Source organism: Homo sapiens, chromosome 3 (assembly GCF_000001405.40).
Source record: "Homo sapiens chromosome 3, GRCh38.p14 Primary Assembly".
Classification (NCBI taxonomy): Eukaryota; Metazoa; Chordata; class Mammalia; order Primates; family Hominidae; genus Homo; species Homo sapiens.
In genome coordinates this window covers 81,536,188-81,553,770 of record NC_000003.12, presented here as the reverse complement: position 1 = coordinate 81,553,770, position 17,583 = coordinate 81,536,188, and the positions used below count along the sequence as shown (strand labels likewise).

Genomic DNA, 17,583 nt, shown 5'->3' with positions numbered 1-17,583 from the left:
CTCTCCCTGATGGTATAGATATGTTCCTCTTTATCCACCCCCTTTCTACCCCATTGTACTTTCTGTCTGTTTTTTTTTTTTTCTTATGGCTCTCATAGAAACCCATTTTGCATCTGTAAAGAAACATTTTTAGACACTTTTTTATCTGTCTCTATACTTCAACTGGGTATTCAAAAAAAAAAAAAAAGACATTTTCCATGAGGAATACATAGTCTACTAATGGAAGCAGACATCATTGACTTTATTTTTTTTCTTTCAACATTTATTTAATAAATCTTTGAGTGTATACTGAATGCTTGCTGTAGTAGAAATAATAGATGAAAATACAGGATATCTGTCCCCAGTCTAATAGAAAGAGGCAAAAACAATATAACCACACACATACAAAACACAGCATAATGCTATTTAAATACTTTCATTAGTAAAGAAAAAAATATATATCCAAGTGCAAGTGGAAGCACAGGAGAACACTCAAGCCTTTTTGCAGGAGTTTAAAAAAAAAACTCTGAAGAGGCTAAACAGCTACAACGTGGAATCATAACACCAATAGTAGCAGCATATGCAAGGTACAAAGAAAGCAGAGGTCAGTAATAAATACACTTCATTCGTACATTTGATAGTGGAATTGGAAGTACATTCTTTTTATAGCTCTTTCATTACCTTCCCTAATGCCTGTACATTCATAATAGATTTCTAGTTAATGTTGTTCAAATCATGTACTTAGTGCCAGATACAATGAAAAGTACGCAGAGACATCTAAGTTCGAATACTAGTCTTGATACTTCATACCTGTATAACCTTAGAAAGTCACATTACTTTCCTGATCTATTATCTGAAAACAGAAATAATGTTCCCTCCCATATTGAAGGGTTTTTGTGAAGATTATTTTTTAAAGTAACTGTTAATAATTGTAGCACAAAGCCTGTGTATATAGGAGGCTCTCAATAAATGACTTTGCTTTTATTTTAATATTGTGATTATTTTACATTTCATTTATTTAAAATCATCTTCCATTTTCTCAATTTTAAAAAAAGGAATTAAGAGATGTATAATTACCCTTCAATACAGTAATGCTAATAAGTCTTTAGCATTTCAAATAAAACTTGTTTATAAGTGTGTTTATATTCATTCTACCACATTTATGTGGAATATAGAAATCTGATTTTGCACTTATGGACATTGCTGATGAAGATTATTTTTTGTTTGTTTATTTTGACAGCCTTCTTTTTTTTTTTTTTTTTTTTTTTTTTATATAAGATAGAGCCTTGCTCTGTCTCCCAGGCTGGAGTGCAGTGGCACAATCTCAGCTCACTGCAACCTCCACCTTCCGGGTTCAAGCAATTTTCCTGCCTCAGCCTCCTGAGTAGCTGGAATTACAGGTGCCTGCCACGCGCTCAGCTAATTTTTGTATTTTTAGTAGAGACAGGATTTCGCCATGCTGGCCAGGCTGGTCTTGAGTTCCTGACCTCAGGTAATCTACCCGCCTTGGCCTCCCAAAGTGCAGGGATTACAGGCGTGAGCCACCACGCCCAGCCTATTTTGACAACCTTCTTAACATTGGACCTAAGAATTTACTTCACCCACTATCCTGTCTTTGCCTTATTGATGAGAACTTAACCACCCCAAGCAATTGTAATCATGTAGATAACACAAAGGATTGATGGGTTTGGCCAGATCAACCAAAGTTCAAGTTGAAAATTGTTTTCCAAGTGCCCATAGCTCATTCAGCTATTACTTCAAGATGTTACACATAATTTATCAGGGGGAGGACTGGGAGAGCAGGGGTAGAGTGAGGGTATGGACCCAGCATGCTTCCCTAGTTCTAACATTCAGCACCACATTCCTGGCCCCTTTCAGCTCTTCTAGAATTGGGGGTATGGATATTTGTCACCATGGCATGATTAGATGGAACAGGAGCATTTGTCTCATATCACTGTGAACCCTGAATATCTAAGACAGGTCTCAGTTCATTTAGAAAGTTTATTTTGCCAAGGTTGAAGATGTGTGCCCGGACACAGCCTCAGGAGGTCCTGATGACATGTGTCCAGCTTGGTCAGAGCAGTTTTGTTTTATACATTTTAGGGAGACATGAGACATCAGTCATAGTAAGATGAACATTGGTTCAGTCCAAAGCAGCAGGACAACTTGAAGGACAGGTGGGACAACTGGAAGTGGGGAGGGGGCTTCCAGGTCATAGGTAGATGAGAGGAAAATGGTTGCATTGAGTTTCTGCTTAGCCTCTCCAAGGGAGGCAATCAGATATGCATTGACCTCAGTGAGCAGAGGGGTGACTTTGAATAGAAGCGGTTCCCAGCTTGTCTTTTCCCTTTAGCTTAGTGATTCTGGGGCCCCAGGATTTGTTTTCCTTTCATACTCTCCTACTACTTTCTTTAACTTTTACAGATCCTTTAAGCCTTCTTTTGATCCCTCTTGTCCAGCACCCCCCATCATGTTAAGGAAATGGATATTTTTATGGTTGTGTAAAATCTCTCCTATTAAATTGTGAGTTCTATGAGAACAGGGATGATGCTGATGTATATTAAGCAATTAAGCATGTTATCTGATGCACAGATACACTTAAGTAGTTCTAAAGTTGTATTCTTCTGTTATAGTTAAACATATGACCACTTTAACATGGGGCTTAGAATATATTCTTTGGCTTGTATCTTTTAAGGGAGGAGTGTGCAGGAGAAAGACATGAGAGAACGTGGAGACCAAAGCATTTTGTTTTAAAACAGTGAATCTGTTACCAGAAAAGGGTCCCTATACAGACCCCAAGAGAGGGTTCTTGGATCTAGGCAAGAAAGAATTCAGAGAAAGTCCATAGAGTAAAGTGAAAGCAAGTTTATTAAGAAAGTAGAGGAATGAACGAATGGCTACTCCATAGACAGAGCAGCCCCAAGGGCTGCTGGTTGTTCATTTTTATGGTTATTTCTTGATTATTTGCTAAACAAGGGGTGGATTATTCATACCTCCTCTTTTAAGACCACATAGAGTAACTTCCTGACGTTGCCATGGCATTTGTAGACTGTCATGGTGATGGTGGGCGTATAGCAATGAGGATGACCAGAGGTCACTCTCATTGCCATGTTGGTTTTGGTGGGTTTTAGCTGGCTTCTTTCCTGCATCCTGTTTTATCAGCAAGGTCTTCATGACCTGTGTCTTGTGCCAACCTCTGTCTCATTCTGTGACTTAGAATGCCTAGTCATCTGGGAATGCAGCCCAGTAGGTCTCAGTCTTATTTTACCTAGTCCCTATTCAAAATGGAGTTGCTCTGATTCAAACACCTCTGACATATATTCTCCCTCCATTTTATAAGAGAACTCTTAAAGGTTATAGAGGGATGAAGATCCATCTTCTGTAACTTCTTCAGGCTGAATAAGGGCAATGATATTCCTACCTAACTGTTAGGTCTCTTGCATTCAGGGTAGAGAGGAGCTCAGTCAGAAAGCATTGGTATGGTGATAGCCATTCGTAACTATTGAGTGCTGAAAAAAAGGTGATATCTGGAAGATTAATAACTGTCCAGTTTCAGAGAACATTGAGTAAGCTTATCCTGCATTCCTACATGTGGAGTAAAACAGCGATGTATTCCAAAAGAGTAAAGTAAAATAAGTAAAATTATCTCAAGTAAACTGAATTAGAAGGCTTTCCATGAACTGGGCAATTGTTGGAACCAAGCTGTTATGGGGTTGCTAGCCAGTTCCAGTGTGCCCAGGGTTAGAATATTGACTCCAGATTTTTATATTACTCATCCTTTTTATTTCTTTTGAGCAGCATCCAGAGATCACTGGTTGGTTTATAGGAGTAAGCAGGGTCAGCCTAAATTGCAGGAAAAAACTCAAAAACAACCGATGAGACTAGAATCTATTAATAACAAGTGTACTATAGTTCTTGAAACTTAATTTCTCTCTCCAGTTTCCCATTTTTACTAGAGACAAATTATGGTAAGACTGATTTGCTTTATTATACTTGGCCTGTTTATTTGTATAAAGTACAGCAAGAATAATTATTTTTGATATAAACTTTTTGGTTGGCTTTGATGGAATTCTGTTGCATAAGGAATCTCAGATAAGACTTTTATTTTTTAAGTTGAGCCCAGCCTTGTGTTTGTAACCTCAGACATCTATGAGTTGGATAAATTCCTCTACTCTTGAAGTCACAAGATAGCTTGGGGCTCCTGGGCTTATCAGAAAGTGACATTCGTTGCTTATCACTGTGGGTCAAGAACCCTGTACAGAGACTGTGTAGACAAGGTATGAGGCCAGTTTTCTCAAGAGGCTTTTATTGGCTTTAAAGTCAAGCTCAATTCCTTAAAGGAAAGCACACCATTCTGGTCAATGCCTTGATAACCAGTTTCACCAATTGTGTCCTGTTACAAAAGGAAACAGATTCTTATTGCACTTATGCAAATAACTGTATTACCATAAATTAAGAATACCCAGCCGGGGGTGGTGGCTCACTCCTGTAATCCCAGCACTTTGGGAGGCTGAGGAGGGTGAATCACAAGGTCAGGAGTTCGAGACCAGCCTGGCCAAGAAGGTGAAACCCCATCTCTACTAAAAATACAACAATTAGCTCGGCATGGTGGTGGACACCTGTAATCCCAGCTACTCAGGAGGCTGAGGCAGGAGAATTGCTTGAACCAGGGAGGCGGAGGTTGCAGTAAGTGAGATCACACCACTGCACTCTAGCCTAGGTGACAGAGCAAGACTCCATCTGAAAAAAAAAAAAAAAAAAGAATACTCACAAATAGTTTCCAAATTCTGGAGAAATTAGGTAGAGAGAAACAAATATGTTTCAAATTTTGTTCACAGGAGTATACTTTACTTAATTGTCAAAAGCTGCAAGTAGGTTAAAAGAAGTTACCTTGACTCTGAAAAACAAAGCAAATGATCAGCAATTTTTAAGCAAAATGTCAAAAAAGTTTCTTTAATCTTACATTAGTTTAGTCCATGCAGTTAACTCATCTTCTGCTTGATAGTCATAAACATTTCAGCTCTCCATGAGAGTCCTTAATGTTTTTTCTCTATTCCAAAGTTATTCAAAGTAATCAGAAACCTGCATTTAAGAGCAACTATCAAAGTCCTGTCACTGATTATGAAACAATCTTTTGAAGAGGATCAAAACAACATAACAATTTTCTGTGAATGACAAAATCTTTTAGGGCAGCCACAGTTAAAAACACGATTGACAAAGAAATTTGGTTACCTTTCTGGCATATGATTTTATGTAACAATTATAATAACATACACTAAGTCCTATTAGAATTAGAGGAGTTTTACGTAATTTTGGAACACATACCAACAACATATTTAAACAAATATAGCCCAAAGAAAGCCAAACACTATTTCACATGTGACAGTGCTTCCTGTATGATTTTTGTACCAAATAAGCCAAATTTCACCTTTACATTAGTGTACTATTAATGTTAAAACCAATTCTTAATAAAACTCATTGACATGTCTACCCAAATTTAATGTTTGACCATAAGGTGAGATACTCATAAACCTTTTTTAACCCTTACAATTTTTATAACCTTTACAATTTTTTGTTAAAGTGTCGATTAGTGCTCTAAGAAAAACCTGTTTTGAGCCAAATTCCGGTTGCAAGGCAGATTACTCCAAAGATGGTTCCTAGAGGGGAAGAGAATTAAAAAATGGCAAATGTCACACTGATATCAAACCAGAAAGGACTCATTTCCTAAGCCAGGAATTGAACCCTGAACCTGAGCAGCCATTGTGACAGCAGAGACCAAGAGAAAGTACTGCCATGTGGTTAAAAGGTCATCTCCCAAGGATATAGAACAAGAGAAGAGGAGAACTTCATCCAGTTTTGTTTCAGGGACCTGCAGCGAAGTTTGTAACCGACCAGTTTTCTGGGCCATTTTGAACAGCAAGCTTATGGTGTCCTAGGCCAACATTCTATCCTAAGATACCCCTCTTTATGACCAAACAATACAGAAAGGCACACAAAGCACACCAGATTTGCTACAGCTTAAGATTAGCCTCACAGATCCTTTTTTCCCATTAATCAAACCTTTACAGAGGAGATAAACAGTGATTTTTACCATTCATTCAACCAGTTTGCCCAGAGGGAGAAAGAGAGAGAGAGAGAGAGAGAGAGAGAGAGAGAGAGAGAGAGAACAAACGAACCTAGAAGCCTGACTAGTAAGAAATTCTTATCCTTTTGCTGGCATGCCGGGCTTCTGGGTTCCCTTGCCCTGAGTGGCCCCAGTGACCCGGCTGGCTGCACCAAAGCCCTGGCTGCCAAGCTGCAACAAAGAGGAAAATTATCGAATTTCCCCTTTGAGGGAGGAAAAAGCTCCCCATTTCCCATGGTCCTTTACTTGTGTAATTCTGTCACCTGCAACTGTCAGCAAAGACTGCAAAGCAGATTACTCCAAAGAGCATAGCAGTTAACATCCCATAGTGCTGAACCCGTTCTTATCCGAGGACTTTACTAAGAGGGTCCACTAACCCCCTAAATCTTATAAAGGACTCTAACATTCCTAAGTTGGGCCTCGAACCCAAGTTCAGTCAAGCGTCCTTGCCTTTTTCTGAGAGGAGCCTTTAAATCTGTCTTAGGAGAGACTCTGCCTCCCTTAAATTGGGCGTCTAATGCAATCCCACTCTTCACTCGGGTATATGCACCCCACGTGCCGAAAGTTCGCCAATTGGTACATGCAGGTGATTTTCCTTTGGGTTGGGGGTCTCTTTAGTTTCATTTCTTCCATGGTCTGCCAGAAAGATGTTACTGGACCCCAGCACTTACCCAAAGTTAGTCTTTGGGTCAGGAGTTTCCTTAGTATTGTTCCTTCCATGGTGGCCGGAAAGATGTTACCGGAAAGGGGTCCTGATCCAGACCCTAAGAGAGGGTTTTTGGATCTCAGGCAAGAAAGAATTCAGGGAGAGTCCATAGAGTAAAGTGAAAGCAAGTTTATTAAGAAAGTAGAGGAATGAACGAATAGCTACTCCATAGACAGAGCAGCCCCAAGGGCTGCTGGTTGTTCATTTTTATGGTTATTTTCTTGATTATATGCTAAACAAGGGGTGGATTATTCATGCCTCCCACTTTTAGACCATAGAGGGTAACTTCCTGATGTTGCCATGGCATTTGTAAACTGTTGTGGCACTGGTGGGAGTATAGCAGTGAGAAAGACCAGAGGTCACTCTCATTACCATGTTGGTTTTGGTGGGTTTTAGCTGGCTTCTTTACTGCAATCTGTTTTATCAGCAAGGTCTTTATGGCCTGTGTCTTGTGCCAACCTCCTATTTCATTCTGTGACTTAGAATGCCTAAGCATCTGGGAATGCAGCCCAGTAGGTCTCATCCTTATTTTACCCAGCCCCTCTTCAAGATGGAGTTGCTGTGGTTCAGACACCCCTGACAAACCTGGTACAGTTATGAGGAATGGGAGTTAGGTGTTTGTTTTTTGTTTTTAATATTCTCATCAGGACTGTTGCCTATAATATGAGTGTGTACAGGTGTGTGTATTTAAAGTGAGAGTGTGTGTGAGTTAGTGTGTGTGTGAGTTTGTGTGTGTGTGTGTGAGTTTGTGTGTGTGTGTGCATGTACAGTGGTTTCTACTTTTCCACTGGGGTATGTTCTTCAGTGGATGCCTGAAACTTCATGTTGTACTGAACCATGTATACACTGTTTTTTTTCCTTTACATATATAACTATAATAAAGTTTAATTTATAAATTATGCAGAGTAAGAGATTAACAACAATACTGCATAATAACATAGAACTATTATAACAGTATGCCAGTATCACTACTTGTGCTTTGGAGCCATTCAAAATAACATAAAGGTGACTTGAACACAAGCACAGCAATACCATGGCAGTCCGTTTGGTAACTGAGATGGCCATTAAGTGACTAATGAGCAGGTAGTGGATAGTGCAGAGATGCTGGGCAAAGTGATGATTCACATCTGGAGTGGGATGCAGGAGGACGTCACAAGATTTCATCATGCTACACTGAAGGGCATGCATTAAAACTTATGAATTATATCTGGAATTTTCCATTTAATATTTTCAGGCCACAGTTGACCATGGGTAACTGAAACCATGGAAAGTGAAACCATGGAAAAGAGTGGACTGGTGGAATACAACTGGCATGCACACACATACACACACACACACACACACACATATGCTTGATATCAACAAAGAATTACATACCATTTACAGTCTGGAGGCAAAAGGGAGGCTGTGATAGACTGTAATGATAAATCCTGTTCTCTTGAGCACTGAGTTCTGTTTTGTTGGCCTCATCTAGCATGTCATCCTTTCTCTCATCTTCTGGATCTGATCACTATATTTTGCTTCTGTACCTCCAGAGAAATTATGTTGGACATTTAATAATTATAGAGGAAAACGTCAAATCTTAACAAATATTTAAGGAGACTGTTTCAGGTACAGTGCACTGGAGCTTGCTGTGGAGAATGACAGAGAAACATTAGATGTGGCCCCTTCCCATAACCACACTGATTAGTATCAAAGGCAGCAGGGGCAGTGATTACAAGTTTATTTTTTTTTTAAAGAAAAATCACAGGCCCTGGTTTAAAAAATTGCTTTGTGCTGTGCCTCACACTTTGGTGAGTTAAGTACTCACTGCAATACCAGAGAAAAGCCAAAGAATTTCATTTTAATGTAGATATTTTCTTTTAAAAGTTAGTCTTTAGTACAGGAAAGAGGAGTAGGCGCTAACGTTTTTATATTCTCATTAGGACTATACATTATTTTTATATACATGTAAACTGGGGAACAATAACAAATTATGTAAAATCCACAGCATGGAGGTTTTGATATACTTTAATTAATTCCTAGGTAAAATTAGTATGCATTACAGTTTACAGAAAAAAAATACACAAACCTGCTAATCAAAATGTTCAGCCAACAGAGCTGGGGCTTTTTTATTAGTTATATTGCCTTGAATTTCATCACTGTACCAGCTGGCTTCTTGTCAAGTTATAGTTTGGACCTTTACATCAAACAGCAAAAAAATTAATTACAGGAGAAGGAGTCCCAATTGGAATTTTGCTCTTAGAGGTTTTTCACAATTAACCAGACATGAATGGGGCTGTGTAAGGAGGAAATGGAACTAGAGAGAAGGAACTTGGTAGACTTTTTTAGAATCATTAACTATAGCAATGTTAGTTACGGGCTTCCGTGATTTTGTTTTAAGGTTTAGCCAAAGTTTTCAGATTTCTCATTTCTAGAAGCACCCAGTTCTGTTACTATATTGAATGCAATGAATCATACCATGAATTCTGAATTCTCTTAGAAAGGGTCCCAAGCGATGGCTCAAAAAATGATTATCCTCTCTTCATTTTGAATCGAGGAACATTCTATCTATTACACTACTGATCATAATCATAATTTAATGAGCAGAACGATCATGCTTTGATGGTTAGTGCCAGATTACTTGTAATACGTATTTTGGACTCAGAACTATTGTTCTTAACTGTCACAGTCATTGCCTCTGTGCGCTACAGTTAGTTTAAATGTGACTTTTCTAAGCCTCTTATCTGTTGAATAAACCAGCCAAAGGTTTTAAAAATGCTTCCTTTAACTTAGCTTTCTACTTTTCTTTTTTATTTTGCTTAAAAGCCCTTACTTGTGACCCATTCTTCTAGTTGCTGGCATTCTAATATAGTGAATGGTTCTTTCACAAATACAGTTAATCTTTGGATGCCTGGAGAATCCAAAGAACACATTTCTCTCCTCTGAAAAATGCATGTGAACATACATACAACATTTTGCATGAAATATTAGAAAATCATTAGAAATGCATGAGCCCCAAGTTGTGAACACCTGTTGCATTCATTGAGGAACATATAAATGTATTATGTACATATGTGTACCTATCATATTCATATATAATTTAGGAATATACATATTGCTTAAATTCAAATGCTGATTCAGATCATATTGTTTGCATTCTGTCAAGTCATCTATGCTAAAATAAATCAATTATATTATTTGCCATCACCTGAATAAATTTAGATTTCTGATCCATTTTTATACACAGTAGCCCTTATACACAGCACCCTTACTTATAGGCTCATTTGGGTCACCATATTTCACTGTACTGTCTGAATTACTGCCATATATCCTAAGTAATTTGTAGCCCATAGCTGAGAAGGACATTCTTAACTTGTTTTAATGATAATATTTTTCTTCATTAGGTTTGTGAGCTTTGAGCTAGTGGAAGATACTAACAGGCATTTTCCAGTTTTCTCTCTCAGGCCTTAAGAATGGTTCACTATTATCCCAAGGTCACTTTGAAAGTCTTTCTGTGATTTGCTTCCATTTATTTTATGCTTGTGTTTATGGTTTTGAACCAAATATGAAATTTAATGTTGCGTTTGTCTACATTAAACTTAATTTGCCCCTTGTCAGCTCGTTTACAACAGAGAAAACATTCAGAGCCACCCTGTAGAATGTTTTGTCTACAATCACTGATACAATTTTTCTGTCTCTCTTTGTTGTATGCAACTTTCTATATTTTTCAGTCTAAAAAGAGGCCTCTCTGAAGGAACATTTTCAGAAAATCTAAATGTCTAATAGAGATTAATAAATGATTTTCTAATAAAATAGAATCATTACCGTATTTTGAATTTTTTAAATTAAAGTTCTATTTTCTAACTTAGAAATTTAATTTCATATTACATATTATATGAATATGCTTCTTGAGATGCTCTTAAAGTAGTGAATTTATACTTTAAAAAGATAAATGAAATAAAAGTTAAAATATAAACAAAATCTTAAATTGAGTTACATTACCAAATATTACCAAATATTTTGTGTGCTTTTTTCTTTTTCTCAGATTTTTCTAAGTACTGAAATTAACCTCATGTAATTAAATTTCTCCATTTAAAAATTAGTTACTTTTTAAAAATAATTTCAACTTTTATTTTAGATGCATGGGGTACATGGGCAGTTTGTTATGTGGATATATTGCATGACACTGAGGTTTGGGGTGTGAATGTCTGTCACCCAGGTGGTGAACATAGTACCCAATAGGTTGTTTTTCAGCCCTCCCTGCTTTCTCTCTCCTGCCTCTAGTAGTCCCCAGATGAATTTTTTCTTAATGCTTACTAATTTTTCAATACCATTATATGGTATTGAAATGACAAATATTTTAAATTGATGTATCTTAGAGGGCACTAAAATGAAACATTAAATATACATGATGAAAAATACTTTTAAAGTAGAATCCTAAACATATACATTAAGAAATATAATTTGTGTGTTGAAAATTATTTTCAGGAGAATCTACTAACTTGTGCCTGTATCTTCGAATCATGAGCAGTGTTCAAAACTTGGGAAATGTTTGATCCTAGAATATCTGCTGTTTACCTTTGAGCAGATATTATATTTATTCAGTTTATGTTAGGGAAATATCAGACAGGTGTACAAAGATACATATAAAAGACTGGTGATTTTTTATAACACAGAAATATTAGAAAAAGTCAAAATTACCAACTTAAGGTGATTGGTTAAATAAAATTTCATTACATGGTCCACAATGGAATACCATCATGGAGATGCATACCTATTGATATGCAAAATGCTCATTTTAAATTTCAAAATAATATATAATGCAAGTCTATCTTTGTTCAAAAACAAGTTGTAGGTAGTTGGTAGATAGGTATGAATGTATGTATAGGTATCAATATAGATATAGATATAAATATACAGATGTGGATATAGACAAAAATAAATACAATGTTTATCAAAAGAAAAACAGATTATTTTGTAACATCTGTGTGTGTAATTGTGATTTTTAAAAATATTTCTATGAGTGGATTACTTAATAAATTAATAAATAAAATAAAAATAAAACATTGTAATAGAAGTCAATATTTATTAAGCACATACTATGTATCGTATATGCTTCTAAATAATTTACATGCCTTACCTATTTAATTGTAATTATGCTACTCTTCAGTCCTTATTATCTTAGCCTGTTTGTCCTGCTATAACAAACCACCATAGACTGGGTGGCTTAAACAACAAAAACTATTTCTCATAGTCTGGATGCTGGGAAGTCCTAGATCGAGGCACTGGCAGATTTGATATCTGGTGATGCCCTATTTCCTGGTTCACAGATGGCTGTCTTCTCACTGTATCCTCCACAGCAGAAGAAACAAGGCAGCTCTCTGGGGCCTGTTTTATAACAACATTAATCCTGTTCATGAGGGCTCAACCCTCCTGAACTAATCACCTCCCAAAGCCCCATCACCTAAATACCACCACATTAAGAGTTAATATTTCAACATATGAATTTGGGCGAGGTGGCGGGGGGGGCAACTTGCAGCCCATCACCATTATTTATGCTGTAGATTATAAGCATGTGAATTTTTCACACTGGAATGTTAGAAATAAATGATAATAATGTAATTTCACATTTTTATGGAGTCCATGAACCCTCTGAGGCTGTATCGTGGGGTGGGTGTGTGTTTGTGTGTGTGTGTATGTGTTTTCCTGGGGAGCAGTTACTTAGCTTTTAATCAGATTGTGCGATGAGTTAATATCGTCCTCTGATAGTTTTAGTCAAACTCACCATTCATTTCTGTACTATTGAAAACTCCACTACAAAGTCAAGATACTAACAGCAAGCAAAACTATACAGTGAAAATGAATTTGTTGTTTTCACCTCATTAATCTACCCAAGGCAGTTGGTAAAGATAGCAAGCAGCAACAGCGTGACCTCAGGTCACATTTTCAAGCAGGCTAGGAAGAAATGGGAGTTGGGGAGGTCATCAGGTGCCAGGAGTGTTCTAGCCAGAGCAGAACTCTACTTTTAGATAGTGCCTAAAATGTTAATTTTAAGTGGTATATAATCAACTGTCAGTTAAACTACAAATAACCTTTGAGAGCTTATTCAGAGGCTTTGCAAGGTGAACATGTAGAATAGTGAGGCTTTCATGAGGGTGGATATAGGATTCCTAACATAGTAATCTGATTTACCCAATCAGTCTGTGTCTTGTAACAACATTATTTTCATTTTCAATTCTGTCTTTTAAGATCTAAAACAGTAGATGATTCAAAGCACATTAATACTTGGCTTTGGGATATATGTTTGTATTATTAAAATATGAATAAATGCATCTGTGCAGAACTTCAGCACTTTAAAGAAAGGAATAAGGCCATTCCATGAAAACCTGTATGAACAAGAGCCAAATAGCTAGCAACCCTTTGGATTCATCCTTGTTACCTGTATGGGCAGCTGGTTCTCTCCTCAGAATGATGATTTTACAGATGAGGAAACCAAGCACTAGAGAGATTAAATTGCCTATATTCACATCACTTATAAGTGGCATAGCTGTGATTTAAACCCAAGTCTTGCTAACTTGGAAATCTGTATCCATGGGCATCATGTTGTCTAACTGACTACTTTTAAAATATTATGGAGAAGTTGATAAACTGTAGATTCCAGCCTACTAATCACTCCAGAAGTAATGTATCCATATCATTGAGGGTAGGGGTGAACATTTTTAACAGCCTTCCTTGGTGATTCTGGAATGTAATATAGATTGAAAAGCATAGCTTTACACCATCTTATTTCTGCATCAGAGGGGAGATCATGTAGCAAGTTCTTATTTATGATTTTATTTTTCGGTAGCATTTAATGCTACTGACCACCATCCTTGGGACTTTTCTTAGCCTTCTATGTTTTCTTCTAATGTCCCCTTTACCCTGCTAACCATTGCTCTCAGTCTTCCCTAACATGGCTTCTTTCTGCCTTCAGTTCCTTGGTATGCTGGCCATGGCGTTTTTTCTCTGGTGGCTCTCATTATCTTTGCTTATTGAGGCTTTATAAATTACTCTTTCTCCCCACCTACAATTCTCTCTTGAGTTTCAGTACCTTATTTTTATCGTTCTTCTAAATCTACAGATGCTGATGTTTCCTTCGTGTCTTAAATTTAGCAGGCCTAAAATTGAACTCATTATCTTCTTACCCCAAACTTTCTGTCACCGTTTTCCTCTAGTGTAGTTAACACTGTCACTACTCAGCCTTCTGAACTCAAAACTTCAAAATTGCATTCCGACTTTCCTTTTCCTCACTGTCGCCATTCAGTCAGTCTGTCATCAAATCTTGTTATTTCCATCTCAGAAATGCCATTTGAATCGATCATTCTTTTCTGTGTTTCCACAGAATCTCATCATCTGTTATACATTGGATTCCATACCAGTTTTCCTATCATTCAACTTTCCCTGATATCCAGTCTTTTTTCCACATGGTACCAGAGATATTTTAATAATAAACACATTTGGAATTCTCATTTCCCTACTTTAAAATAGCCTTTGATTCCCTAATGCCTGCAATATAAGGTACAAAATGTATACGGTTCATCCTAATGATCCTGCTTTATCTCCTTACCACAAGTCTTATTTTGTGGCTAAACTGAACTTTTTACTACATCTCACTTTCTCACTCTGATGCATTTGTGCATCTGATACATACCTGGAATCTCTGTCCAGGTATGAGAAGTTGGTCATTCTTAGCCCTGTATTTCCATAGAATTTACTTGTGCACAACATGCTATGGTAGTAATTAAGAGTCAGGGGGCTGAAACCAGACTAACTGGGTTCACAGGCCCAACTCCTTAATTACTGTGTAACATCTTTGTGCCTCAGTTTCCTTATCTGTAAAATTGAAATAATGATATTACCTACCTTAGACAATTGTGGAAGATAGGGTTAATTCATGTGCAATGCCTACAATCGTGCCTGGCACATAATAAACAGAAATTAAGCATGTGCTGCTGCTTCTACTGTCATCGTGATGACAATGATGTGACAGTCTCCATGGAAGAGGGCTAAAGGAATTGTTTATTAATACTGGGATCAACCCAGAGATCCACGGCTGTCCCAGAAGAAAAGTATTTTGCCTATGGGAAGCCTGGATCCAGTTTGTAGGCTAATATACTATCGCTACCTCATGGCATTTCTAGTCTCTTGTAAATCATCCACTAGTTAAAATCCCGCTAGTCCTTGGATTGGTATGTGGACATATACTTGTTCCCAGACTGGAAATCCCTTCATTATCAGTAAAGATTGCTCCAATTGCAATTCTGCAGGTACATTATTTTGCTAGTTTCATGGTTGAAGGAGTAAGCTGTGCCATCGGTATACCTTGGGCTGATGTGAATCAGACTTTAGACCTAGACAGGACCTTTAAATATAGCAGAGGGACATTCCTTGTGTCAATTTAAAGCATCCTAATATAGCCTCATAAAGTCGGCTCTCTGCTATGACACACTGTGGACAACATCATAAGAAATATTATCATTTAGACTGAAATTTGAATTGAGCAAAATGTTTGTAGACACTTATTAATTTTTAAGAAACTGCTATACACCTATTTATTTGGATGATATTTTTATTTGGATGAATGTGGTCCTGAAAAGTTAAATGTAAGTTGCAGAATTTCTTAGCATAAAGTTCACTATTTAAAGCACCTCTGCAGTAAATTATTTTGAATTACATCCTAGCTTATTAGTTTTTATTTATTATAATATTAATATGCAGTGTATTTGAAGTAGGATACGTTTGTATTGGCTATGATACTTTCTAACTCATTGGAGAAATTTATAAAATTAATTAGAAATTTGCGGCATTAATTAGAAATTTGTAGCACTAATTAGAAAATCACAGCAATAATTAATTGTAGCACATGAAAGAAAAGTTTGGAAAGTAGCATTTAATTTTTAGGGAAAGAAAAGAAGGCTTAAAGTAGAAATTGAACTTAAGGGTAACAATAAAAACCAATCGGTTAGATGACTAATATCTAAAATTGATTCTCAAAATGGAAACTATGTATTTGTTACTGTTTTATTTTATTTTTAAGTTTATTGGGTTTCTGGTTCTGATCATTATAGTGAGAGATAATATTATATAGATCCCCAGCCAGGGGTCTCAGCTAAACACACAGAAGAATAAGCATAAGCATGCAGGCACACTTGAAATGAAAGGTACACACTCTAGTAGTAAAAAATAGATCTGAAAAAGAAATACGGAAAATTCATAATAAAAGTAATGACCTGAGTTTCCTTAGCACCTGAAGTTTACAAGATATTTGCCTAATGTGATGTGGTAGGAAAAACTGGATTTTAATGAGAGGAACTCAATTTTAATGGTTGCTTTCCCACTATGTGAAGTTGGGCAAGTCTCTTAACTGGCCAGAGCTTTGGATTTCTCATCTGTGAAATGAATATAATAGAGAGTTCCTTTGAGGATCAAAAAATAACCTACATACAAAGCCTTTGGAAATTGTCAAGAATTGTACAGATTTCAGAGATTATAGAAATAGATATTTCAGAAATTACTCTGAGATCGCAGAGATTATTTCAGAAATGAAATAAGTATGACATTGATAATTGTCTTCAGTTTGTGCTTGAGGAAACCAAGATGTGCAACAAGTAATGAGCAGCCAAACTGAAGCTGGACCCTGGGCTTCTGAGTCCAAAGGTGGTACTTCCTGTGCTAGACCGTGCTATTTTTGAGCTACACCTGTACATCATTCACAGGACACAGGTCTAGTAAATGATAGCCTAAACTAAATTTAAAAAACATTAAAAACATATAATTATTGATTTATTATTAGTAAGAAATTCTAATATTAATAGGCTGATATTTGCATGTGTTTTGTAATGCAGGTAATGAATTTGGGCATCCTGAATGGTTAGACTTCCCAAGAAAAGGAAATAATGAGAGTTACCATTATGCCAGGCGGCAGTTTCATTTAACTGACGACGACCTTCTTCGCTACAAGTTCCTAAATAATTTTGACAGGGATATGAATAGATTGGAAGAAAGATATGGTTGGCTTGCAGCTCCACAGGTAAGCTCTTCACTCTGGATGCTGTGTTTTAGTCACCAATGAGGTACATGCCTAGAATGGCAACCAATTTAAATCTCTATGCAGATCTTTTAAACAGCAATTTATTATTCAGTGTCTAGTGTCCTGTACCATACTTCAGGTTGTCAAAACATGTCACTGAAGTCTCTTCAATTGATAATGAAAATCTTAAACATAATGCCCTGCTTAGTTTCCTGGTTTGTTTGTTACTGTTTAAATTTAGTAATTTGTATTTTTATTGGTTAAAATAAACAATAAAAGCTCTGCAGGGAACCCATTTTGGAAATTGCTGTGGAAACATCTTAATTGTTTGGAACACTTTTTTATGTAAATAATTATGCTGTCATAAAGAAACTACTTTGACAACATGTAAATTTCTTTATTCATTTTTTTTTCTCTTCTTTAGTGGCCTCTAACTTGTCATTTCAATAGATGCCATTATACCTGCATGCTGTTTTGTATTTTTCATGAGCCTGTCTGTCCTCTGGAATTAATGTCTCAGTTTTCAACAAATTTTAGAAAATGTAATTAACAAGTGAAAATTTTATACAGGCTTCTTTTTTCCTGGCAAAAGTTAACATATAATATGTCTTCGTTATAATCCATTTACTTTATACTGGGGCTGTTTGAAATTACTGTTGATGTGTTTTTACTTTGGTGTCTATGATTCTTTTTTTTTTAATGGCTGAACAAAGGTATTTATAT

At 36.6% G+C, this 17,583-nt stretch overlaps 1 protein-coding gene and 1 long non-coding RNA gene across 3 annotated transcripts in view; one reads left to right on the top strand and one right to left on the bottom strand.

The window, feature by feature from the left end:
• GBE1 (1,4-alpha-glucan branching enzyme 1) overlaps positions 1–17,583 on the top strand; it is a 271,943-nt gene that overhangs the window by 207,875 nt on the left and 46,485 nt on the right. For both annotated transcript variants that reach the window (XR_007095662.1, NM_000158.4), the window contains exon 13: positions 16,676–16,860. Coding sequence is in view for 1 of the 2 variants with exons in the window: in NM_000158.4 (NP_000149.4) it covers positions 16,676–16,860 (185 nt within the window). In the remaining variant the exon portion in view is untranslated. The remainder of the gene's footprint in view (positions 1–16,675; positions 16,861–17,583) is intronic.
• LOC124906198 (uncharacterized) lies at positions 4,791–5,803 on the bottom strand. Its single transcript, XR_007096260.1, has 3 exons — positions 5,729–5,803; positions 5,586–5,636; positions 4,791–4,876 (listed from the first exon to the last, which is right to left on the bottom strand). It is a non-coding gene; the product is annotated as an uncharacterized LOC124906198 (long non-coding RNA).